Source organism: Homo sapiens, chromosome 11 (assembly GCF_000001405.40).
Source record: "Homo sapiens chromosome 11, GRCh38.p14 Primary Assembly".
Classification (NCBI taxonomy): domain Eukaryota; kingdom Metazoa; phylum Chordata; class Mammalia; order Primates; family Hominidae; genus Homo; species Homo sapiens.
Window position 1 is genome coordinate 58,265,679 of NC_000011.10, and position 27,788 is coordinate 58,293,466.

The 27,788-nt window shown below is 39.7% G+C and overlaps 1 protein-coding gene and 1 pseudogene across 1 annotated transcript; both read right to left on the reverse strand.

Annotated features, from left to right (window-relative positions):
* Window positions 1–1,113: 1,113 nt before the first annotated feature.
* Window positions 1,114–2,582, reverse strand: OR10W1 (olfactory receptor family 10 subfamily W member 1). Its single transcript, NM_207374.3, has one exon. The coding sequence runs from the start codon at window positions 2,178–2,180 to the stop codon at window positions 1,263–1,265; it is 918 nt and encodes a 305-aa protein (NP_997257.2). The 5' UTR covers window positions 2,181–2,582; the 3' UTR covers window positions 1,114–1,262.
* On the reverse strand, window positions 26,151–27,093 carry OR10Q2P (olfactory receptor family 10 subfamily Q member 2 pseudogene; annotated as a pseudogene).

Consider the following 27,788-nt stretch of genomic DNA (forward strand, 5'->3'; position numbering starts at 1 on the left):
ATTGATAGAATATGTATTTCTGGCACACAGGAAGCACTTAATATTATCTATTACTAATAACTAGTATTTGAAAATATAAATTTGAGGCTGAATAATATCTTTTTACATAGTAATTGTTTAACCAATACTTTATTATAGGAGAAGTGGATTAATTTCTTTCTTTTCTTTTCTTTTCTTTTCTTTTCTTTTTTTTTTTGAGACCGAGGGAGTCTCGCTCTGTCCCCTAGGCTGGAGTGCAATGACGCAATCTCAGCTCACGGCAACCTCCGCCTCCTGGATTCAAGCGGTTCTCCTGCCTCAGCCCCTCAAGTAGCTGGGATTACAGGCACACGCCACCATGCCAGGCTAATTTTTGTACTTTTAGTAGAGATGGGGTTTCACCATGTTGGCCAGGCTGGTCTCAAACTCTTAACTTCATGATCTGCCCACCTCAGCCTCCCAAAGTCCTGGGATTATAGGCATGAGCCACCGCAACTGGCCTATTTTCATTTTTATGTATGATGCTATAATAAACAACAAATTTGTTCTGATTGTTCTCTGTTTGACCCTGGTTCTCTAGGTTTTTGTCTGCCTTTCCCTGTGCCCTAGGAGACTGACTTCTGTGGACTGATTCACCCAGTCTCCCCTCCCTTCTTGCTGCCAGTTGAGTTTGGTCCATGGAGACAGGGCAAGAAATGGAAGATTTTGAGCAAAGAGACGCTGGGGTATTTGCCTCCCTGTCTCTTCCTTGCATGGCCATAGTTCTGTCATAGTTTCTTTTTATTTCTGATGCCACAGTTTCTACCAAGTGGTTTATCTGCTTAGATCTAACTGTCACTGGACTCTGATAATGTTGCACCCTTCTTCTATGGCACACCTTTTAAGTCTAGGGCTGAGAAAGCTTCCTGCTATTGCTAGCGTGTTAGTGCTCTGCCACATTTTATTGGTTTCCTTACCTATAACCACTGCAGATAACCCTTTTTAAATATTTTTTTAGTTAAAAATCTATTGAGTGAGCTATCTCTTCTCAGCTGGTAACTGGACAAAGTATTATACTTGCCACTTTATATCACTTTATGCTCATGTAGTTCTTTCCAAGAAGAGAAATTACAGAGTCAAATTGTAGAAATATTTAAAAATCTTTGGCACACATAAACAGTATCCATATAATTTATACCATCTTTTAGATGAGTTTTAACACCAAATGATAGAAATCTCAGTTTCATACAGATTTGGTGGGCTGGAACCAAATACTTGCCTGATAGGCTGTCCCCTCGTCTTTCCTAGCTGTTCTGGGAAAGGCAGTTCCTGGTAAGAACTCTCCCTACGGCCCCTTTCATCTCACTGTTCCTCAGGGCATAGATAAGTGGGTTGAGCAGTGGGGTTCCCAATGTGTACACCAGTGAGATGAACCGATCTTGCTTGGGGTTGTAGCTGGAGCTGGGGCACAGGTACATGAAGGCACAGCAGCCATACTGCAGCAGCACCACAGTGAGGTGGGAAGAGCAGGTGGAGAAGGCCCGGTGGCGGCCAGCAGCCGAGTGGATCTTGAGCAGAGCAGCCACTATGAAGGTGTAGGAGGTGGTGATGAGGAAGAAAGGCACAGCAATGGCTAGTATGGCTGCCACCAGCACTGACTGCTCATGAATGTGACTCTGAGCACAAACAACATGCATGACTGGTGGCACATCACAAAAGAAGTGCTCAATGCCCTGAGCCTGGCAGAATGGCAGAGAGAAGATGAAGGCCACCAGTTGTAAGGACAGGAACAGACCACTGATGACTGATGCCACAACCAAGTGGACACAAAGAGTCAATGTCATGAGGAGAGGGTACTGCAACGGGTGGCAAATGGCCACATAGCGGTCATAGGCCATGGCAGCCAAGAGGAAGCAATCAGCACTGCCCAGTGCAATGAAGAAAGCCATCTGGGTGGCACAGCCCAGGAGAGTGATGGTCTTCTCTGACTGTAGGGTGTTGGCCAGGATATGGGGCACCACCACTGCAGTGTAGCATATTTCAATCCCAGAAAGGCTGCCCAGGAAATAGTACATGGATGTGCATAGACAGGTTTCTGTGTGAATGGACACCACAATGAGAATGTTCCCAGTGATGATCAAACCATAAACCAGGCTGACCCCAAGGAAGGACAGAATATGCAGTTCTGGGCAGGAGGGATAGGCCAGGAACACAAATTCCATCAACACTGAGTGATTTTCCCAGGTAATTGAGCTAACAGTATTTCTCTGTGGAGAGCTACAAGTACAGAAGGAAGAATCAGACTGAAGATAAATTAAGTTACACTCTGAGCCATGAATCTAATGTAATCAGCACTGGAGTTAGAAACTGGAAGGATCAAGACTAGTTCTTTTTCTTTTCTCCACTTTTACCAAGTTTCTCCACATTAATATCTACACCTCAATTTCTACCTGCCAAGAGTTGGGCCAAACTATGTAAGATACTATTGAAGAAAAATGGCAGAGGAAGTGGGTGGGATTCAGGAGCTATTTTCAGAAAGAGTGGAATGAAAATTCAATTCTTTCAGCAAATTCACAAGAAAGTGTCAAGGAATTCTTGGGGCTAGAAATCATTAAGGTAAGGGAGATAAGCCATTTATTCATTCACTTATTCATTCACATATTTATTAGGTTGGTGCAAAAGTAGTTGCGGTTTTGCCATTTTGATGGCAAAAACTGCAATTACTTTTGCACCAACCTAATATTTACACTCAATATCTCCTGGGGTATTGAATAAGTGATATGTCAATGTAACTCTCAAAACTAGTGATGGGAAGTGAAGAAAGAAAAAAAATTACCCATGAAGCAAAGGGCTAACAGAGGCCTGAGTATGACAGTGTCAGGGATACGCCTCAGAAAGCAAAGCCCTGTCTACTATTGGTTTTTCTATCCTTATCTGACCAGAAGTATAAGGCTTGAAGGAAACAAGGTGTTTTATCATATGTTTCCTCCTGGCGTGGGTGGAGGTATGAGAAAATATGTGATCCCAAGATGTTGGAAATCTAAGAAGCCTTCCTGTGAATTTGGGCATGATTATGAAAGTCTAAGCCCATCTATTTTTCATATTTCTCAGAAGCTAATGTGAAATCTGGGAGAAGCCATATCTTTTCCACAAAAACCTTTTAATAAACAGACGTAATTTGCAAAGGGCATCCATTCCACTTCTTTTCCCAGACCAACTCATATTAAATAAGGTGGAAAAGACGTAATGTGTGGCCTTGTTTCAACGTGCCAAATTTTAATATTTCCTGTCATTGAATATGAGATTTGAAGAGAAATCTCTACCCAGAGGCACCACTTCCAGTAAAAATTATTCACACAAACCCACCTCAGTGTCACAAGCATGGGGAAAAATATGAGTAGGCAGCTACAAATATTAAGAGCACCTAGGGCAGAAATGGCTCTCTGCTGTTTTTCCAACAGCTAACAAGTGGTATCTATTTCAGTTGGTCTCTTTTCCTGAGCTGAACTTCAATAATGCTTTGAGTGGTTTCTAATGCCACTTAGCATATTGCACATTATACTATATCATGTGGAGGAGGGGCAGTGTATCAATGTGAAATCAGCAGTGAAGGGAAGTGATGTGGTTTGAATAATTCCAGCTCCTGGCTTCATGATGTTAGGTAATATATAATTTCTCTAAGCCTCAATTTCTGTATTTGAAAAATGGGAATAATAATTATACTTAGACAAAAGAATTGCTGTAAGTTTAAATGCAATAGTAATGTAAGATATCACAATGAACTGTCCATAGTAATGGCAACCTAATAAAAGATAATCATCATTATTATTTATAAATTCAAGGGCAGCCATTCTGCTTTATTTACATTTTGATCATCCCATATAAGCACGCCTAATGTTGTGCAAATTTTAGACACTCAATAATTATATGTCGAATGGATAATACAGCTTGAAAATGTTATTTATACATTTTCTTCATTTTCTACTTTCACTTTGCCGTGCAATGAAAGATTTAAGATTATTCATAATCAAATCACTTGTTTAGGAGTCCTTATATAAAACAACTTCGTATCTAAGATTTGGGCTGCACTGTGGAAATAATTCTATCATTCAAGAACATAGCATATGGAAGTCTACAACAGGCACACATCTAAAGGCTAGTCTACCATCTATATTATTATACAGAGACAGTTTGAAATCTGTGTCACAATGACAACTTCTGAGAATTTTATTGTAGTCTATTACATTCATATCATCTTTTCAAAAAGTTATATTTTGTTTTTAATTGACAATAATAATTGTACAATGTGATGCTTTGATACATATACACATTGTGGAATGATCAAATCAGGCTAATCAGCATATCCGTCATGTCATATAGTTATCATCTGAATACTGCTCTCTATAATATTTGTAATCTGAACACTCCACCTATAATAAAATATTTAAAATATTTACATCAGAGCTATTATAAGTCATAAATTCTAACTGCAAGAAGGGACCTCAAAAATGGCCAATTTGATCCCCAGTTATTAGATACTTGAATTTCCAATACAGTGTGTAGACACTGGGTCACCTTCAATGCCCAGGGAATCCCATTATCTCCTGGTTTGCTTGCTCTGCTGTGGAAAGACTGGATTCTCTGAAAGTCATTTCTGTAATAAACTGAAGCCTGCCTCTGTGCAACTTCTAAATGTTCCTTTGTTCTACACAATATGGCCATTTTTTTCTTTCTTTCTCTCTTTCTCTCCCTTTCTTTCTTTCTTTCTTTCTTTCTTTCTTTCTTTCTTTCTTTCTTTCTTTCTTTCTTTCTTTCTCTCTTTCTCTCTTTTTCTTTTTTTAGATGGAGTTTCACTCTTGTTGTCCAGGCTGGAGTTCAATGGCATGATTTCAGCTCACTGCAACCTCTGCCTCCTGAGTTCAAGCGATTTTCCTGCCTCAGCCTTCCAAGTAGCTGGGATTACAGGTGCCTGTTACCAGGCCCAGCTAATTTTTTGTATTTTTAGTAGAGGTGGGCTTTCACCATGTTGACCAGGCTGGTCTTGAACTTCTGACCTCAGGTGATCCACCCGCCAAAGTGCTGGGATTACAGGCGTGAGCCACCGCACCCGGCCCAATATGGCCGTTTCTACTCAAAACACCAGATGCTAAAGCGCTGTTATCCTGTAGCCCTGTTTTTTTTTCTTCCTAATTTCCTTTTGCTATTTCTCATATGACATGGTTTTGATGTGTCTCACAATTTAAGCTCTGGAAGTGTTCTCATTTAAAATATCTTTTAAAAAATTGTGCAGCCTGTGACAGATCACAGGAATGGTTACATTAAATAGATCTAGACAGATAAAATAGTGGAGTTCATGGTTCCAAGACAGTGAAAATTGTTTTATCAACACATCCATCAACTTGCCATTCCAAGTTGTTACTAAATATGTTGCATAGGACAGACGCAAGATAAGAACACTTCATCATCCTCAGAAACCTCCCCCAAGATCTCAGTGTTTCCAGGTCAAACTTCACATCATTCTCTTACTTTCCTTCTTTCCTTTCCAGGTAGCCTTCCTCAAGTTGGCAAGAATGTCCTGAGATACATTATTTCTGTTCATTCTGGAAATCCAGATACTCTAGGCTAGAACAACTCTACAAATGTCTAGTAAGAATTGTGTAAAAAAGGGGTTTAGTGGATTTGTCATTCAACAAACCTGAGCTAGATTCTCAGTGTACTATTAATAACATAATCCCCTGGAAGATCATCTCACGTTAATTTCTGTTTCCTCATGTTTAAAAGATGCAAATAATAATACTTACATAATGGAGTTGTGATGAAATTAGGTGAGATAAAGTATTTATAAAACACTTAGTTTAATGTATGAAACCTATTTAGTTGCATAATAAATGTTAATTCTTCCCTGCTTTCATTGTATCTATTAAGGGTATGATAATAATATCTTCCTTACAGCAGAAGATTAAATGGGGTACCATATGAATAAAAAGTTTTTATTAACCCTTAAACCTTGTAGCAATTTATATTTATTAAATCCCTCAAATTTCTTTGACCGAGATTAGTTATTACCATTCTAACCAGAAAAATTGGGCTTCCCAGTGAATTTCAGAGAAAACACTGTAAGTCATAGGCTGAACTAGTTCTGAAATCCTGTAGTCTTTATTTGTAAAGCCACTATTTTACTTTTCTAGCTCAGTGTCAGTCAGTGTTGGAACACTGCAAATCTAGAAGAAGGTAAGAGATTCTCTTACCTTAAACTTGGAAAAGGAGAGAGATACACTGAGCCAGCCTCCGCTGGGATATTCATAAAAGAGAGGACCTAGCAGTGATGTCTGACTGCTCTGGTAGATCAAGAACGGAGGGTCATGAGCCTGGAAAGCCTGCCCAGTGGGACTGAGCCTTATGTAACCTCCCAAACAAAAGCCATGTAGCAAGTCAATTGCTTTGTAATCTAGGGTCTTGTCTCATAAGTTCCATCTCCCAGAAGAAGGTAGCTTAGTGATTGTTGACCTCGTCTCCTGTTACCAGATAATTAGTCCAAACTAAAACTGTGTCTCCACTTGAAATCCCCTGTCACATGGAGGGTCTAGAGTATGCTTGTCATTCAACCACTTAGTAACATTCTCAGTTCCCAAAATAATTTCCTGAAAAACACCAAGTTCCCTAATCAAGGCCATTTGAGCCTTCTGTTTCAAGTCTATTCCTACCATGTCTGTTGTAATAATAATTCCCAAATTATTTTTGCCCCAGAGAACTGAGACTTTATTTTTATCTTTCTGCTATGGGTCCTAGCATACTGTTATGTTATTAATAGTGCTTCAATTAATAATTATCACGTTGTTTGCCTGATCATAATAAATTAACATTTATTATGCAATTAAATAGGTTTCATACATTAAACTTTCCATGATATCCTTCTTTGTTAATTTTCTTTGAGCAGAGACATTCCCATAGATCTTAGCAAATTAGTTTAATTCCTTTGAAAAAATGTTGGTTGGTCATGTGTAAAAATATTTATATTTTTATAACATATATTTACATGTTTGTGTGTGAATATATGTATCCAAGTGCCCACTTATTCACAGGCAATTCTGAAGAGGTCTAGAGTAACTAAGGTAGTTCTTTGGGGTGTGTGTGTGTGTGTGTGTGTGTGTGTGTCTGTGTGTCTGTGGAGAGGACGGCCAGATCCCAACAGCAATCAGGGCTGGGATATCTGAGAGAGTCAGGGACTCCTGAGGTACCTTTGGTGCCAATAAATGGAGGAGAGAGGGAATGGGAGGGGTAGGAAGCAAAATGTATTAACTATTTGCTATGTGCCAAGCAGTATAATAATCATAACAGCTAAGCCTAATATTGCACTTACTAAATTCCACACAATTTGCACATATTAAGTAATTTCATTTGTGCAACACCACTAAGAAGGAGATACTATTGGTATCACATGTATACATTATATCATTTAATCCTTGTAATAAGCCTGCGAAGTTATTGTTATTCCTGTTGTCCAAGAATAGATGCGGCAAGTAGCTGAAATGAAGTTTGCCTGATCCTAAGGTATATTCTTCCCTCTACATCAAACTTCACCCAGCCACATTGCCCTCAGTTGCTTTTTAAAAAATTTTTCATAGCTTTTTATTGTGAAATAAAACAAAAACACAGAAGAAAGACCACACAAAACAACCATATAGCTTAGTGAAATATTATCAGTCAAATCCCTTTGTAATCACCACTCAGATCAAGGGAAAGAACTTTGACAGCCACTCCAGAAATCTCTCCACATGCTCTGACTTAAAAATAGTTAGAACTTCCTCCCTCTCCATTGTAGTTATCCTCATAATGTTACTCCATTTTTGACTAGTGGGAACCTCTTCAAGTTGGCTGAGTCTTTCTGACACGACTCTGTATTCTTTAAACAATTTTTTTATGTCAGTAGCTTTTGGGGTACTAAAAAACCTCAATTGCTTTTCAGTGAAAGTGAAATCTGGCATATATTATAATACAAGGATGAACCATAATATAGGTTACAAAGCCAATATAAGGTTTAATCTCTGCTAACTTCTAGTCTCCTCTTTTCTCCAGTGACTCTGTCCTTCATTCAGTCCCTTCTTCTCACCATGCTTCCTCTCACCACCAGACCTTTGCACAGACTGTTGACTCTGCTTGGAATGTCTTTTCTCTTTTCTTTTTACTTAATAAGCTTCTAATTATCCTTTGTCCCAGTTGTATGACAACTTCCTCAGGGAAGATTTTTTGACCTTGGTTATGTCAGGGTCAAATGCATCTTTTGGAATGTTCCTTTTGGAATCTCACTGACCTCTCAATCATTGCAACCATTACAATTTTACTTATATTTGTTTACTATTTGATTAACTTCTATCTCTCCTATTCATGTATAAGCGCAGTGACGGCAACAACCAAGTCTCCTTTTTCTCAACTTGTATGCATATAATATGAGTAACAAAAGGCTAGACTAGGATTTCCCAGCCTGGGCACTGCTGACCTTTTAGGCTGGATATTTGTTTCACAACATCCTGGTTTCTACCCACTAGATGAAACATACATGCATTGTAACCATACTCTGGTTGTATTAATAAAAAATATCTCCAGATGTTGCCAAATGGTCCCCTGGCAGTCAAAATTGGCCCAGTTAAGAACCATTGGAACAGACATATAGAAGATACTCAAAACTATTTATTAAATGATTAAATAAATAACTCAAGATTCACATCTGGAAGTGTATGGAAATGAATCTTTCAACTCAAGATAAAGATGGGGAGGTTGGCAGGTGAGCATAGAATTGTAGATGTCTAGACTGTATATTTGTCTTTTTCTCATCCATCCATGGTACACTGATGCATTTTCTTTACTGTTGTAGTGATACTTCAGTTAAATGGATGAAGAATAGTAATCTAATTTAGAATGAGAGCATTCTTCTTGATCAATTCTAATGAAACACCAACAATTCCTCCTTACCAACTATCCATTTTGAATAATATAGATTAACTTCTGTATGTATGCAAATTTTCTTCAGAAGCAAGTTGTCTATGTGGGTTCTTGCTTAGGGGAATAAGGGAACAAGTGAAGGGTCCTACAACTCGTGCTATGAAATTAGATACAACTGAGGGGGTAACATAGAGGACGTATGACTGTGAAAATATATAGGGCTTCTTGTACTTTCTTCAATAATTTCTCCTATAATCTTCTACCTCTATAAGTAGAACATGGAATTATATGACAATAATGATGTTAAAATCTTGGTCTGCTACTTCCTGACTTCAAGTAAGAGTCTAAAGAATAGACTATGGAACAGGAAATCGTGTAGCATGATTTCAAAAGTTATTTTCAGGTGACTGGGTAGGGAGAATGCTGTTACAATGCATGTATGTGTGAAGAATATGACATATTTAATGATTCTGAATACTATGTGATGAAAACATTTTTATTCTCTAAGCTACATTAGAGAGTGAGAGAGTGGTACTGCAAGTTTTTGTCTGGTAGATATGTGTATTAGTTTGCTAGAGCTGCCATAAAAGTACCACAGACTGGGTGGCTTCTGTGACAGAAATTTATTGTTTTACAATTCTGGAGGCTTGAAGTCCGAGATCAAGGTGTTGTCAGAGTTGCTTTCTTTTGTGATTTTTCTCTTTGGCTTGCCAATGGCTGTCTTTTCCCGGTGTCTTCACATGGTCTTCCTTGTGTACATGTCTCTGTCCTTCTTAGAAGGGCACCAGTCATATTGGATTAGGGTCCACCCTAATGATCTCATTTTAACTTAATTACTTCTTTAAGTAATTTAAGTAATTTAACTTAATTACTTCTTTAAGTAATTAAGTTAAAATGTATTGTCTCCAAATAGTCACGTTCCGAGGTATCAGAGGTTAGGACTTCAACATATAAAGTTTTTTTGGGTGTATGTATTAAAATGGGATAAAATATATCACACCAAGGAAGTCTCTTTAGTTTTTCCCCATCAAGTAGTCCATTTGTCCAGAAGTCTCTCCATCTTTCATGCTATGCAGTTACAGATGCACAAATAATCACATGTATTCACACACACGCATGCATATAAAATACCAGACCACAGCAAAATAGAAAGTTATAAGTCTTTGGTTGGCCTTGGCATGGGTTGGCATCCTGGTTCAACCACTGTCCTTCTATAAGAGCAGGGGTGTGTTGTTAGAGCCATTGTCCCCAGTCTCACAAATACTCACATTCCCATTCATCATCTCTCTGGGGGAAAATATTTGGAGAAGTAGATGAAGGAAACTCAGGTATCCAATCAACCAAAAATGGTGTTCTAATGTTCCATATTTTACAAAGTAACTATCGGGAAATACTATAGTAATGGACCAAGTACTTCATGAAATGAGTAATTTGCTGCTGCAATAATTCTACTCCCCTCCACCTTGATATACAGACTGTATTTAATTAATCCCAAAGGGAACTTGAGCAAAAGGAGTTGAGGATACAGGCATACTTTCCTTCAAGAAAGCCGATATTTTAAGAAACCAAAATTTAAAAAAAGAAAATTAAAAACTCCAAAAATGTGAGTGGGGTTCACAATTATCAAAGCAGACAGCCTCCTTGTGGAATTCCTGTAAATGCCATCATCTTAGGGACTTTCATGTCCTAGTTTAGACAAGCAAAAAACAAAACAAAACGAGGACTTCACAGAGAGAAGCTTCATGGGGGGTGGATCACTGGGGATGTGACCTCAACAGCTGAAACCTAAGGATGATTAACAGTGATTCAGAAAGATCAGTAAAAATGAAGATAAATAAGCTCTGGTATCTTAATGTGGGTCAATGTAAAAAGAAGATTTGATTTGCAAATGTTTGACATATAAACTTTGGATTGTTATGTAGATACATAATATTATTACATAATACATAAAGTCACTGAAAATTTGTTTTAAATGGATATTTTTACGCTATTGGCAGAAGATCTGAGTGGGTGGTATTGAGTATGGGACCTCGGGGTAGCAATTCCCCCAAATGTAATTGGGGGAATTATAATTTAAAAGACAATTATATTATTGTAAATGAACCCTGTAGTACACCCAGGCATAAATTATGTTTGTATTGGGTATGGGACCTTGGGGTAGCAAATGCTGCCAGTGATGCTGATGCAGGGAGCCAGCTGACAGCCCATAGAGAGATACTACTTTATAAAAACTCAGGTTTGAACCAGAATTTGTTTGTTCATCCTACTATTTTGAATTTGGCAGTCTGTAAAGCTTTCCTATAGCACAAATCCCTGTCTCTATTCTAAGAAATCACTATCCAGAAGGGATAATAAAGTTAGTACTTTACTAGGACAAGCATGGGCAAGTTCATTTATGTATTCCATACCTACATGGCACATAGGCACATTAACACAAAGTATGGGGCAAATTCAAAAGACAATTACATTATTGTAGGTGAACTCTGTAGTACACCCAGGCATAAATTATGTTTGTTAAGTCAGCATTCCATAAAATTCTCTGTTCACATTTTTGTGTCATGTGTAAGGCCGAGATTCTTAGCTATTTCTCTCATTTCTCCTCTTTAGATATCTGTATCTATATATATCTCATCTACAAGTAGATTATCTGTGTGTGTGTGTATATATACACACATATATATAGTGGGAGCTCACATGTGCTTGTGTGCACATTTTTATGTGAATGATTGGAGAGTTTCTTTTTTTGTCAGTTGTGTCTCTTTTTTATTGTAGTTTAAGTTCCGGGATACATGTGCAGAAAGTGCAGGTTTGTTACATAGGTATACATGTGCCATCGTGGTTTGCTGCACCCATCAACCCATCATCTCCATTAGGTACTTCTCCTAATGCTATCCCTCTCCTAGGCCCACACCCCTCTGACAGGCTCTGGTGATATTCCCCTCCCTGTGTCCATGTGTTCTCATTGTTCAACTCCCACCTATGAGGGAGAACACATAATGTTTGGATTTTTGTTCCTCTGTTAGTTTGCTGACAATGATGGTTTCCAGGTTCATCCATGTCCCTGCAAAGGACATGAACTCATTCTTTTTTTATGGCTGCATAGTATTCCATGGTATATATGTGCCACATTTTCTTTATCCAGTCTAACATTGGTGGGCATTTGAGTTTTTCAAATCTTTGCTATTGTAAATAGTACTGCAATAAACATATGTGTGCAAGTGTCTTTATAGTAGAATGATTTATAATCCTTTGGGTATATACCCAGTAATGAGATTGCTGAGTCAAATGGTATTTCTGGTTCTAGATCCTTGAGGAATCGCCACACTGTATTCCATAATGTTTGAACTAATTTACACTCCCTCCAACAGTATAAAAGTGTTCCTATTTCTCCACATCCTCTCCAGCATCTGTTGTTTCCCAACTTTTTAATGATCACCATTCTAACTGGCATGAGATAGTATCTCATTGTGGTTTTGATTTGCATTTCTCTAACGACCAGTGATGATGAGCTTTTTTCATATGTTTGTTGGCCACATAAATGTCTTCTTTTCAGAAGTATCTATTCATATCCTTTGCCCACATTTTGATGGGGTCATTTGTTTTTTTCTTGTAAACTTGTTTAAGTTCCTTGTATATTCTGGGTATTAGCCCTTTGTCAGATGGATAGATTGCAAAAATCTCCAATTCTGTAGGTTGCCTTTTCACTCTGATGATAGTTTCTTTTGCCATGTAGAAGCTCTTTAGTTTAATTAGATCCCATTTGTCAATTTTGGCTTTTGTTGCCATTGCTTTTGGTGTTTTAGTAATAAAGTCTCTGCCCATGCCTATGTCCTAAATGGTATTGCCTAGGTTTTCTTCTAGGTTTTTTTATGGTTTTAGTTTAAGTCTTTAATCCATCTTGAGTTAATTTTTGTATAAGGTTTAAGGAAGGGGTTCAGTTTCAGTTTTCTGCGTATGGCTAGCCAGTTTTCCCAACATCATTTGTTAAACAGAGAATCCTTTCCCCATTGCTTTTGTCAGGTTTGTCAAAGATCAGATGGTTGTAGATGTGTGGTGTTATTTCTGAGGTCTCTGTTCTGTTCCATTGGTCTATATAGCTGAGTAGGTATCAGTACCATACTGTTTTGGTTACTGTAGCCTTGTAGTATAGTTTGAAGTCAGGTAGCATGATGCCTCTAGCTTTGTTCTTTTGCTTAGGATTGTCTTGGCTATACAGGCTCTTATTTGAAATTTCCATATGAAATTTAAAGTAGTTTATTTCTAATTCTGTGAAGAAAGTCAATGGCAGATTGATGGGAATAGTATTGAATCTGTAAATTACTTTGGGCAGTATGGCCATTTTTTTGATATTGATTATTCCTATCCATGAGCATGGAATGTTTTCCATTTGTTTGCGTCCTTAGTTCCTTGAGCAGTGGTTTGTAGTTCTCCTTGAAGAGGTCCTTCACATCCCTTGTTAGTTGCATTCCCAGGTATTTTATTCTCTTTGTGAATGGGAGTTCACTCATGATTTGGCACTCTGTTAGTCCATTATTGGTGTATATAAATGCATGTGATTTTTGCACATTGATTTTGTATCCTGAGACTTTGCTGAAGTTGCTTATCAGCTTAAGGAGTTTTTGGGCTTAGACAATGGGGTTTTCTAAATATACAATTGTGTCATCTGCAAACAGTGACAATTTGACTTCCTCTCTTTTTATTTGAATACCCTTTATTGCTTTCTCTTGCCTGAACGCCCTGGTCAGAACTTCCAATACTATGTTGAATAGGAGTGGTGAGAGAGGGCATCCTTGTCTCGTGCTGGTTTTCAAAGGGAATGCTTCCAGCTTTTGCCCATTTAGTATGATATTGGCTGTGAGTTTGTCATAAATACCTCTTATTATTTTGAGATATGTTCCATCAATACCTAGATTATTGAGTGTTTTTAGCATGAAGGGGTGTTAAATTTTATCAAAGGCCTTTTTTGCATTTATTGAGATAATCATGTGGTTTTTGTCATTGGTTATGTTTATGCAATCGACTAAGTTTATTGATTTGTGTATGTCGAACCAGACTTGCATCCCAGAGATGAAGCTGACTTGATCATGGTGGATAAGGCTTTTGATGTGCTGCTGGATTTGTTTTGCCAGTATTTTATTGAGGGTTTTCACATAGATGTTCATCAGGGATATTGGCCTGAAATTTGTTTTCAAATTTCAACAACAAGATTGAAATCTTGTTGTGTCTCTGATAGGTTTTGGTATCACAATGATGCTGTCCTCATAAAATAAGTTAGGGAGGAGTCCCTGTTTTTCTATTGCTTGGAATAGTTTAAGAAGGAATGGTACCAGCTCCTCTTTGTACCTCTGGTAGAATTTGGCTGTGAATCTGTCTGGTCTTCGGCTTTTTTTGTTTGGTAGGCTGTTAATTAATGCCTCAATTTCAGAGCCTGTTATTGGTCTATTCAGAGATTCAACTTCTTCCTGGTTTAGTCTTGGGAGGGTATATGTGTCCAGGAATTTATCCATTTCTTCTAGATTTTCTAGTTTACTTGCAAATAGGTGTTTATAGTATTTTCTGATAGTAGTTTGTATTTCTGTGGGATCAGTGGTAATATCCCCTTTATCATTTTTTATTGTGTCTATTTGATTCTTCTCTCTTTTCTTCTTTATTAGCCTGGCTAGTGGTCTATTTTGTTGATCTTTTCAAAAAACCAGCTCCTGGATTTATTGATTTTTTTTGAAGGGTCTTTTGTGTCTCTATTTCCTTCTGTTTTGCTCTGATCTTAGTTATTTCTTGCCTTCTGCTAGCTTTTGAATGTGTTTGCTCTTGCTTCTCTAGTTCTTTTAATTGTGATGTTAGGGTGTCAATTTTAGATCTTTCTCACTGTCTCATGTAAGCATTTAGTGCTATAAATTTCCCTGTAACCATTGCTTTAGCTGTGTCCCAGCGATTCTAGTACCATGTGTCTTTGTTCTCACTGGTTTCAAAGAACTTATTTATTTCTGCCTTAACTTCGTTATTTACCCAGTAGTCATTCAGGAGCAGGTTCAGTTTCCATGAAGTTGTGCGGTTTTGAGTGAGTGTCTTAATCCTGAGTTCCAATTTGATTGCACTGTGGTCTGAGAGACTGTTTGTAATGATTTCTGTTCTTTTACATTTGCTGAGGAGTGTTTTGCTTCCAATTATGAGGTCAATTTTAGAATAAGTGCTATGTGGTGCTAAGAAGAATGTATATTGTGTTGATTTAGGGTGGAGTGTTCTGTAGATGTCTATTAGGTCCACTTGGTCCAGGCTGAGTTCAAGCCTGAATATCCTCATTAATTTTCTGTCTTGTTAATCTGTCTAATATTGACAGTGGGGTGTTAAAGTCTCCCACTATTATTGTGTGGGAGTCTAAGTCTCTTTGTATGTCTCTAAGAACTTACTTTATGAATCTGGGTGCTCCTGTATTGGGTGCATATATGGGTGCATATATATTTAGGATAGTTAGCTCTTCTTGTTGCATTGATCCCTTTACCATTATGTAATGCCCTTCTTTGTCTTTTTTGATCTCTGTTGGTTTAAAGTCTGTTTTACCAGAGACTAGGATTGCAACCCCTGCTTTTTTTTGCTTTCCATTTGCTTGGTAAATGTTCCTCCATCCCTTTATTTTGAGCCTATGTGTGTCTCTGCATGTGAGATAGGTCTCCTGAATACAACAAACCAATGGGTCTTGACTCTTTATCCAATTTGCCAGTCTGTGCCTTTTAATTGGGGCATTTAGCTCCTTTTCATTTAAGTTTAGTTTTGTTATGTGTGAATTTGATCCCGTCATCATGATGCTAACTGGTTATTTTGCACATAAGTTGATGTAGTTCCTTCACATATGTTTTTGCAGTGGCTGGTATCAGTTTTTCCTTTCCATATTTAGTGCTTCCTTCAGAAGCTCTTGTAAGGCAGGCCTGGTGGTGACAAAATCCCTCAGCATTTGCTTGTCTGTAAAGGATTTTATTTTTTCTTCACTTATGAAGCTTAGTTTGGCTGGATATGAAATTCTGGGTTGAATTTTTTTTTTCTTTAAGAATGTTGAATATTGGCCCCCCACTCTCTTCTTTGTAAGGTTTCTGCAGAAAGACCCACTGTTAGTTTGATGGGCTTCCCTTTGTGGGTAACCTGACCTTTCTCTCTGGCTGCCCTTAACATTTTTTCCTTCATTTCAACCTTGGTGAATCTGATGATTATGTGTCTTGGGGTTGCTCTTCTCTTGGATTACCTTAGTGGTATTCTCTGTATTTCCTGAATTTGAATGTTTGCCTGTCTTGCTAGGTTGGGGAAGTTCTCCTGGATAATATCCTGAAATATGTTTCCCAACTTGGTTCCATTCTCCCCGTCACTTTCAGTCACACCTATCAATCATAGGTTTTGTCTTTTCGCATAGTCCCATATTTCTTGGTGGCTTTGTTCATTCCTTTTTATTCTTTTTTCTCTAATCTTGTCTTCATGCTTTATTTCATTAAGTTGATCTTCAATCTCTGATATTCTTCTTTCTGCTTGATTGATGTTGCTATTGTTACTAGTGTATGCTTCATGAAGTTCTCTTGCTGTGTTTTTCAGCTCCATCAGGTCATTTATGTTCTTCTCTAAACTGATTATTCTAGTTAGCAGTTCCTGTAACCTTTTATCAAGGTTCTTAGCTTCCTTGCATTGGGTTAGAACATGCTCCTTTAGCTTGGAGTAGTTTGTTATTACTCATCTTCTGAAGCCTACTTCTGTGAGTTCATCAAACTCATTCTCTGTCCAGTTTTGTTTCCTTGCTGGTGAGGAATTGTGATCCTTTGAAGGAGAAGAGGCATTCTGGTTTTCGGAATTTTCAGCATTTATGCACTGGTTTTTCCTCATCTTCCTTGATTTATCTGCCTTTGACCTTTGATGCTAATGACTTTTGGATGGGGTTTTTGCATGAGCATCCTTTTAGTTGATGTTGATATTATTAGTTTTTCTTTGTTAGTTTTTTTCTCACTGTCAGGCCCCTTTACTGCAGGTCTGCTGGAGTTTCCTGGAGGTCCACTCCAAACCTGTTTGCCTGGGTATCACAAGTAGAGGCTGCAAAACAGCAAAAATAGCTGCCTGCTCTTTCCTCTGGAAGCTTCATCCCAGAGGGGCACCTGCCAGATGCCAGCTGAAGCTCTCCTGTATGAGGTGTCTGTCAACCTCTGCTGGAAAGTGTCTCTCAGTCAGGAGGTATGGGGGTCAGGGACCCACCTGAGGAGGCAGTCTGTCCCTTGGCAGAGTTTGAGCACTGTGCTGGGAGATCCACTGCTCTCTTCAGAGCTGGCAGGCAAGAATGTTTAAGTCTGCTGATGCTGCACCCACAGCTGCCCCTTTCCCCAAGTGCTCTGTCCCAGGGAGATGGAAGTTTTATCTATAAGCCCCTCACTGGGTCTGCTGCCTTTCTTTCAGAGATACCCTTCCCAGAGAGGAGGAATCTGGAGAGGTAGTCTGGCAACAGACACTTTGCTGTGCTGTGATGGGCTTTGCCCAGTTTGAACTTCCTGGTGGCTTTTTTTGCACTGTGCAGGGAAAACTGCCTACTCAAGACTCAGTAAGCTCGAGCATTCCAGGTTGACTTTAGACTGCAGTGCTGGCAGTGGGAATTTCCAGCCAGTGGATCTGAGCTTGCTGGGCTTTGTGGGGGTGGGACCCACTGAGCAAGACCACTTGGCTACCTGGCTTCAGTCGCCTTTCCAGGGGAGTGAACGGTTCTGTATCTCTAGTGTTCCAGGCACCACTGGGGTATGCAAACGAAACAAAACAAAAAACTCTTTCAGCTAGCTCAGTGTCTGCTCAAATGGCTGCCCAGTTTTGTGCTTGAAACCCCAGGCCCTCAGGTGCCTGAAGGAATCTCCTGGTCTGTGGGTTGCAAAAACCATGGAAAAAGTGTAGTATCTGGGCCAGATAGTACCATCCCTTATGGCAAAGTCCATCATAGCTTCCCTTGGCTAGGAGAGGGAGTTCCCTGGTCCTTTGCAATTCCTGGGTGGGGTGACACTGAACCCTGCTTCACCCTTCGTGGGATGCACCCACTATCTAACCAATCCCAACGAGATGAACTGGGTACCTCCATTGGAAATGCAGAAATCATACACCTTCTGTGTTGGTCTCATTGGAAGCTGCAGACTGTAGCTGTTCCTATTTGGCCATCTTGCCAGATCATCAAAGAGATTCTTTATGAAATAATTTCACTGAGAAAAACAGTTTAACCAGAAGATACTGGATTCACACTTTAGTGAGGGCTCTACCTAATTTGCTGAAGAGCTATCTTATGCCTAATTAAAAATGGAAAAAATAATCCTAAAATTTCTATGGTACCACAAAACACCCAGAATAGCCAAAACCATCTGGGCAAAAAGAACAGAACTAGAATCGTCACATTACCTGACTTCAAATTATACTACAGAGTTGCAGTAACAAAAACAGCATGGTACTGGCATAAAAACACATAGAACAATGGAACAGAATAGAGAACCTAGAACTCAATACATACATCTACAGTGAACTCATTTGCAATGAAGGTGCCAAGAATATACACTGGGGAAAGGACAAGTTTCTTCAACAAATGATGCTGGGAAAACTGAATTTGCAGAAGCGTGAAAGTAAACCCCTATCTCTCACATATACAAACAATAAATCAAAATGGATTAAAGGCTTAAATATAAGACCTCAAACTATAAAACTGCTATAAGAAAATATTGAAAAAACTCTCCAGGACATTGGTCTGGGCAAAGATTTCTTAAGTAATACTCTCAATCACATACAACCAAAGCAAAAATGGGCAAATGGGACAACATGAAGTTAAAAAGCTTCTGCGCAGCAAAGGAAACAGTCCACAAAGTGAAGAGAGAACCCACAGAATGGGAGAAAATATTTGCCAACTACCCCTCTGACAAAGGATTAATCACCAGAATATATAATGAATTCAAACAACACAATAGCAAAAAATCCAATAGTCTGAGTGAAAAAAGGCAAACTATAATTTGGAGATCATGGCAGATGGGAGGCAAGACTAGATTTCAGCTCCCACTCAGACAGACAGGACAGCGTGTGGAGTCTCGCATTGTGAACTTTTTCTCCAGAACGTCTGCAGGAATACACTAGGAAAGCCAAGAGAACCCACAGATCCTCTGAAGGAAGTGGATTGCTCCTGCAGGACCTGGGAGACACCCCAAATACTGTGAGTGCCCAAACTGTGGAAGTGGGAAAGGGAGATCATCTGCCCCTGAACACACACACCCCACTGGGGAATCTGAGGTCTAGATTATGTGAGAAGATTCTGACCTTACTGGGAACGGAGTCAATTTAGAGAGCCAAGCAAAATACAGGGGTAGAGGAAGCAGCAGGAAAATCCCTGTGAGCTTGCTGGGTCCCCTAGCAAGCCATTTCTGCCTCACCTCTCAGGGGTCTTTGAGGAGGGCTGCCAGAGGCACTGGGAAGTGTCCTAGGGAGGAAGAAACCTCCAGCTGAACTTTGTAACAATTTGAACCCATAGAGAAGTCTCCTGGCCAGAACTTTGGGGAGGGCGTGAATCCAGCATGCAGACTCCATAGGCCAGAAAAGAAGGAAAGCCATATTTGCTTTCACAGCTGGGAGGTGGGTGGCCTGGGGCAAGTTATCAGCCCTGCTCACCCACTGCCTGGAAACAGACTCAGTGCTGTTGGCAGGGGCACAGTGGGAGTGACACAGGCCGTTTGGGGTGCATGGGAGCTGGGTGAAGCCTGTGACTGCTGGCTTTCCCCCACTTCCCTGACAACCTGCAGGACACAGTAGAGGCAGCCATAATCCTCCTAGGAACACAACTCCATTGACCTGGGAAGCTTTCCCCTATCTCCCACAGCAGCCACAGCAAGACCCATCCAACTAGAGTCTGAGCTCAGACATGACTAACCCTGCCCCCACCTAATGGTCCTTCTCTACCCACCCTGGTAACTGAAGAAAAAGGTTATATAATCTAGGGAGTTTTAGGGCCCTGTCCACCGCCTGTTCCTCCCCATACTACTACAGCTGATGCTCTCTTGAAAGTGCCACCTCCTGGCAGGAAGCCAACCAGCACAAAATGTGCACTCATCAACCAAAGCTTAGAACCCTCACAGAGTCCACTTCACACCCTTGCTACCTCCACTGAAGCAAGTGTTGAGAGACCCGCAGGTGGTTCACATCACAGGACTCTAAAGACAACCCACAGTACCAGCCCAGAGCCTGGTAGACTTGCTGGGTGGCTAGATCCACAAGAGAGATAACAATCACTACAGCTCAGCTCTCAGGAAGTCACATACCTAGGAAAAGGAGGAGAGTACTACATCAAGGAAACGCCCCGTGGGACAAAAGTATCTGAACAACAGCGTTGAGCACTAGACCTTCCCTCTGACAGAACCTACCCAAATGAGAAGGAACCAGAAAGCCAACTCTGGAAATATGACAAAACAAGGTTCTTTAACACCCTCAAAACACCACACTAGCTCACTAGCAATGGATCCGAACAAAGAAGAAATCCCTGATTTACCTGAAAAAGAATTCAGGTTAGTTATTAAGCTAATGAGGGAGGCAACAGAGAAAGGCAAAGCACAATGTAAGGGAATAAAAAAAAATGATATAAGAAGTGAAGGGAAAAACATTCAGCGAAATAGCATAAATAAAAAATCAAAACTTCAGAAAACAATGGGCACACTTACAGAAATGCAAAATGCTCTGGAAAATCTGAGCAAGATTTCAGGTCCAGGAAGACTGGTGAGCAGGTGTCAGAGAGACTTGGTGGGTTGTCATCAAGTAGGACTACCCTTGAACCTGTGCAAAAGAGACACTAACTTGGTGAGCTCCTTCTCAAAGGAACATATAGGGCCACAGCTGGCTCTTACTCATAAGCACCATCTACTGGTCTTTAGGCCAGACTGCACAGCCCAATATAAAACCTGCCTAGGAAAGTGCATAGCCTAAGACCCTATCCAGCATATTCTACAGTCACACACCCTAGGAAGGGGAGGAAATGTCAAGAAAAAAATATATAAAGAAACAAACAAAAAATCCTATCTGCATGAAAATAATTACGAATATTAGAAGTGTCAGTCTTTCCAGATGAGAGGGAAGAAGTGTAAGAATTCTGAGCTGTGAAAAATCCAAATGTGACGACACTATCAAAGGATCACACTAGCTCTCCAGCAATGGTCCCTACCCAAAATGGAAAGTCAGTAATGACAGATAAAGAATGCAAACAATGAGATATCATCTTACACCAGGCAGAATGGCTATTATTAAAAAGTCAATTTTGGTGAGGATGCAGAGAAAAAGAATGCTTATACACTGTTGGTGGGAATGTAAATTAGTACAACCTCTATGGAAAACAGTATGGAGATTTCTCAAAGAATTAAAAATAGAACTACTATTAGATCCAACAACCCCACTACTGGATATCTACCCAAAAGAAAAGAAATCATCATATGAAAAAGATACCTGCACTCATATATTTATCACAGCACTATTATCAATAGCAAAGATTTGGAATCAACCTAAGTGTCCATCCACAGGTCAATGGATAAAGAAAATGTGGTATATATACACAATGGAATAATATTCAGCCATAAGAAAGGATGAAGTCATGTCTTTTGCAGAACATAGATGGAACTGGAGGCTATTACCTTAAGTGAAACAAATTAGACCCAGAAAGACAAATACCACACGTTCTCACTTATAAGTGGGAGAGAAATAATGTGTACAGTGGGCATACAGTGTTCAATAGCAGACACTGGAGACTTGGAAGGATGGGAGGCTGGAAAGGGGGTGAGGGATAGGAAACTACGTAATGGATAAAATATTATTTGGATGATGGTTACACTGACTGCTCAGACTTTACCACTGCACAACCTACCCATGTAAGAAAACTGCACTTCTACCTGTTGTATTTATACAAATAAAAAAGGAGAAAAAGATTATTTCTTAGTCAAATTACTTGTTTAGGGGCCTTTAAGGAAAACAACTTTGCATCCAACAGTTGGGCTGCACTGTGAAAAAAAAATTATTCTTCAAGGACACAGTTTATAGAAGGCTACAACAAAAGACATTTAAAGGCTATTCTGCTATCTATATTATGATGGAGGTCTTTGCAATCTGTGTCATAATGATTAACTTTGAGAATTTTACTGTAGTCAGTGATACGGTTTGGATCTGTGTCTCATCGAAACTCATGTCAACTTCTAATTCCCAGTGTTGGAAATGGGGCCTGGTGGGAGGTGGTTTGATGATGGAGGGTGGATTTTTCATGAACGTTTAGCAACATCCCCTTGGTGCTGTTCTTGTGAAAGTGAGTGAGTTCCCATGAGACCTGGTTGTTTAAAACAGTGCAGCATCTCCAGTCAATGGAATATTGGAGTATACATGTCAAAATAAAGACCAGTATTACCCTTTAGGAATATTCTTGGTGCTCAAAATAATTTTCCAACAAATACAAAGTTCCCTAAACACCGTCCTCTGAGCCTCCTGTTTCAAGTTTATTCCCATTATGTCTGTCATAGCAAGGTTCAGCCCAAGTCCCAAATTCTTACTGCCCTGGAAAACTGAGACTATATTTATATTTTATATGCAAAAAAGGAGGCTCTGATACCTTGGCTTGGATAAAGGAACAATGGAAGACATTTAATTTTCTTTTGTTACTTTCCTCTGTTACTTTAAAAATAACTCCCTTATTATGGTTTTCCAGAATTTGAAGAAAGCATACATATTCACTCAACATGCCACAAAAATTTCATAGGTTTTGAGCATGTACCTGCCCAGATATTATCTTGCCATATTAAAGTCTGCTAATTTAAAAAATGTTTGTTCTTATTATATTTATCTTTTTCTCATTTTCCTTGGTATAGTAGATCTTTACAATGGAACATATGTTTGATATGTACTCTTTGAGATGTGACTATGACTCTAGGTGATAATTACACAATCTTAAGGTTCACCTATTTAGAGTTTGGTTCACCGTTGACTGATGATTAAACATATTTATATGTAATATGATGTGTCCATCACTGTTCTAAGTTTTGGGGATACAAAGATGAATAAAACAGGCAAGATTCACATTATATCTAGTGAAACAGATGATCAACAGGTTAAATAAGTACATGAGATATTATCAGACAGTGATAAACTCCATGGAGAAAATACAACAAGTTAATGGGATAGAGAATGATTAGAAGAAGAGGCCATGAAAAGCATCTTCTTTGAAGAGGTGACATTTGTGATGAACTCTGTAAATTAAGAAAAAAAATAGCTATGAAATTATGGAGAAAAGCAGTTCAAACAAAGGGGAAAGGGAATAGAACTTGTGAAGGACTTGAAGCTGGAAGAAAGCATGTCTGAAACAACAAGCTACTAAAATTTGATTAGGCATATTTGATTATGAGGATTTTGAAAATCCTATTGTCTTTATGAAGTGCTTCATTGCAGCACTGTCCACAATAGCCAAGATATGGAATCAATATAAAAAAGGCAGTTACCAGAGTCTGGAAACTGGGGAAGGATGGAGAAAAGGGAGATTTTGATCGAAGGGTATAAAGTTTCAGTTAGACTGGAAAAATAAGATTTAATGATCTATTGTACTATATGGTGACCACAATGAACGATAATGTACCATGTATTTCAAAATTGCTAAACGAATAGATTTTAAACATCCTCACCACAAAAAAAAATAAGTCGGTGAGATGATGGATATGTTAACTAGCTTGATTTAATCTTTCTACTGTATACAATAGTCTTCCCTTTTTCATGTTTTGCTATCTGAGGTTTTGGTTACCCATAGGCAACTGAGGTCTGAAAATATGAAATAGAAAATTCCAGAAATAACTCAAAAGTTTTAAATTGCATGTTGTTCTGAGTAGCATGATGAAATTCCCCAAACCAGGATGTCAATCATCCCTTTGTCCAGCATATCCACACTGTACGTGCTACCTTCTTGTTAGTCACTTGTTAGTTGTCTCATGTATAAGATCAACTGTTGCTGTAGCCCAGTGCTTGTGTTCAAGTGACCCTTATTTTACTTAACAATGGCCTCCAAAGTGCGAGAGTTGCAAAGCTAGCATATTGTCGTAATTGTTCTGTTTTGCTATTAGTTATTGTTGTTAACCTTTTTTGTGCCTAATTTAAAATTAAACTTCATCATAGGTATATATGTATGAAAGAAACATAGCATAGCATATATAGGGTTCTGTCTATCCATGGTTTTGTGCATTCGCTGGGGGTCTTAAAATGTATCCCCTTTAGATAAGGGGGGATTACTGTACACATATCTCAAAAGACCATGATGTATCCCATAAATATATGCAACTATTTATCAATAAAAAATTAAAACACAGTAAGAATTAGAATTTCTTGAAACTAAATATATATTGTATTTAAGACTCAGTTGATGGCTTTATGTTTCAAAGCAATATTTCACATGAGGAGTTTCTATTTCCCTTTTTTTTTTTTTTTTTTTTTGAGATGCAGTCTTGCTCTGTTGCCTAGGCTGGAGTGCAATGGCACAATCTCAGCTCACTGCAACCTCCGCCTCCTGGGTTCAAGCGATTCTCCTGCCTCTGCCTCCCAAGTAGCTGGGACTGCAGGCACACGCCACTGTGACCGGCTAATTTTTGTATATTTAGTAGAGACGGGGTTTCACCATGTTGGCCAGGCTGGTCTTGAACTCCTGACCTCACGTGATACCCCTATCATGACCTCCCAAAATGCTGGGATTACAGGCATGAGCCACCATGCCCAGCTGATGAGTTTCTATTTCTATAGTTAACTATTGTTACAAGCCTTTCCTTAGAGTTTTGTATAGAAGAAACATAATACCATTGAGATTTAAACTTATATCAGATTCTTTGTCATCTTCTGGGCTGTGATGGTTAGTTGTATGTGTTATCTTTGCTAGTCTAGACACTCCTGTGAGATTATCTTTCAGATGAGATTAATATTTAAATCAGTAGATTTGGGTAAGCAAATTACCTTCCATAATGCTAAAGGTCCATGGTGTGATGTGGCAATAGGGATATGCAAAATATCACTATTGGATACATCCAATCAAATATTTATAAGAGGCAAAGTTCTGGGTGAACGTGCATATAATACTTTCACATACTATTGTCAAACTAATGAGTATAATGAAATTGACTGGCTGCTTCTATTACATAATTTCACTAGACCAAGTGGAAAAGAAAGGATGAGTTCAGGAGCTCAAATTCTAAGCTCAAGCACTGCATAAATGATGTGAAAACTTGTATGTCTGTCCTCAAAGTGACCCATATCTCCTGTAGTGGTAGAACTGAGGTTTTTGATTACCAAATGCAGAATCTCATGCTGTGAACTGGTGATTTACAATGCATATCGAATTCCCATCCTTGCAAGATGTGTACTGTTAAAGTGAGGGCATGTATTGAGAAGAAATGGGCTCTAGAAAATTGAAATGGGGACATATGAGAGGATTCTGATGAAGCTGGGAATATAGAACCCCTGAATTCTGGTGAGTGTTTTGCCAGTAAAGCAGCCACTTCACCCTTGACTGAGATTAACTCTACTTTTTCTCTAATGGCATCCCCTGAGGTAACTGCCTTATAGGACAATAGGACTGACTCCCACAATTCCTCTTTGCTTTTATTTATTTACTTTAGAGAAGGTCTCACTCTGTTGCCCAGGCTGGAGTGCAGTAGTGTGATCCCAGCTCACTGCAGCCTCGACCTCCTAGGCTCAAGTGATCCTCCCACCTTAGCTTCCCAAGTAGCTGGGAATACAGGCATGTACCACCATGCCCAGCTACTTTTTATATATTTTTTTGTAGAGATGGGGTTTCACCATGTTGCTCAGGCTGGTCTCAAACTCCTGGGCTCAAGGGATCCACCCACCTTGGCCTCCCAAAGTGCTGGGATTACAGGTGTGAGCCACAACACCTGGCCCCTCTTTGCTTTCACCCCCACAGTCACATGAGCCAATTTCTTAAAATAAAATTTTCCCTTTATATTGCTTTAGAGGAAAGGTAAAATTATAAATTTGGAGTTAAATGAATGATAGCAGTCTACACTTTTTGGAGTTTTAAGGTTTTGGGAGACCTTTTTTAAAAATGAGAATGATCTGTAGCAACTAAGTACATCAGGCACAGAGAATTAATGAAAGTCCAAATTCTGATACAATAAAGGCAAATCTAGCATTTGGATGGAAGAGTTTTACCATTGTCCCATGCCCAGGTGCCCCTTTCAGTCTCTCGGAGCCTTCAGAAGGACTCAGGTGTCCCTTTGGTACTGAGCACTTTTTTCAAGGGCACCTTTGACATCCTTGTTCCTAAGGGTGTAAATCAAAGGGTTGAGTAATGGTGTGATAAAGGTGTAAACAAGGGCAAACTGGCGATCCTCATCTGCAGAGGAGCTGGACTGGGGATGCAAGTATGCCAAGGCACAGCAGCCATACTGCAGCAGGACCACGGTGAGGTGGGAGGAGCAGGTGGAGAAGGCCTGGTGGCGGCCCTCAGCAGAACGGATGCTCAGGATGGCACAGGTGATGAACACGTAGGAGACGCAGATGAGCAAGAAGGGGACGGTCAGCACGAGGATGCTCACGACATAGAGGACAGCCTGGTGAACACGGATGGCAGCGCAGGCCAGGCGCAGGACGGGAGGTACATCGCAGAGGAAGTGGTTAATTTCCTGGCGGTAGCCGCAGAAGGGCAAGGTGAAGATTAAGGCGGTGAGCTGCAGGGAGAGGAAGAGGGCCAGGCCCACAGCGCCGCCCAGCATCTGCACGCACAGATTGCAGGTCATGATGAGGGGTAGTGCAAAGGGTGGCAGATGGCCACATAGCGGTCATAGGCCACGATCGCCAAGAGGAAACAGTCAGCACCACCAAGTGTGAGAAAGAAGAACATTTGGGCCCCACATCCAGCCAATGGAATGGGCTTCTGGGCCCCAAAAATGTTGGAAAGCATCAAGGGCACCACAACGGTGGTGTAGCAGATCTCTACAAAGGACAGGTTGGACAAGAAGAAATACATTGGGGTTCGGAGAACGCTGTATGTGCACACAACCCAGATGATGGCTGTGTTGCCACAGAGGATCATCAAGTAGAAGAGGAGGAAGAGAAGGAAGAGAAGAACCTGAAATTCAGGGACTGTGGTGAACACACGGAACACAAACTCAGTGGGGCAGACTGGTTGAAGACAGGTTACCACGCAAGCATGCCTTGTGCAAAAGCACTGAGCCGTCCTTGGCTGAGTTGCCTTATTGCCTGAGTAAAATAAAGAGGGAGGACTTTGTTTCTGAGGTGGGAATTACCTAATTGTCATTGAGATTCCTTTTTTTTTTTTTTTTGAGACAGGGTTTCACATTGTTACCCAGGCTGGAGTGCAGTGGCGTGATCACAGTTCACTGCAGCCTCTACTTCCCAAGCTCAGGTGATTCCCCCACCTCAGCCTCCTGAGTAGCTAGAACTACAGGCCCACTCCACTATTCCAGTTAATGTTTATATTTTTTGTAGAGATGGAGTCTTTCTTGCTTGCTCAGGTTGGTCTCAAACCCCTGGGCTCAAGCTATCCTCCAGCCTCAGCCTCCTGGAGTGCAGGGATTACAGGTATGAGTCACTGCACCCAACCTGATACTCTAATTGTAGTTAAACATAGGTAATTATTTTCCTCCAAAATCTTCATGTGTATTTTCTTGAAGAGAAGGAAACAGATTTCTAAAGTGTTTCTACATTACACTTTAAAATATGTTTACTTTAAAATATAAGTTTAAGATAGTAGAACAGTGGTTACTAGGGGAGAGAGGGAGAGGAAATAGGATAGGTAAGTCCAAAGGTATAAACTTGCAGCTGTGTAGGATGAATAAGTGCAGGATCTAATGCATATATAGCATGAGGATTATAGTTAATAC

Bases quoted from the DNA above. Each gene is read 5' to 3' on its own strand.
- OR10W1 (NM_207374.3), bottom strand. From the start codon at position 2,180: ATGGAATTTGTGTTCCTGGCCTATCCCTCCTGCCCAGAACTGCATATT.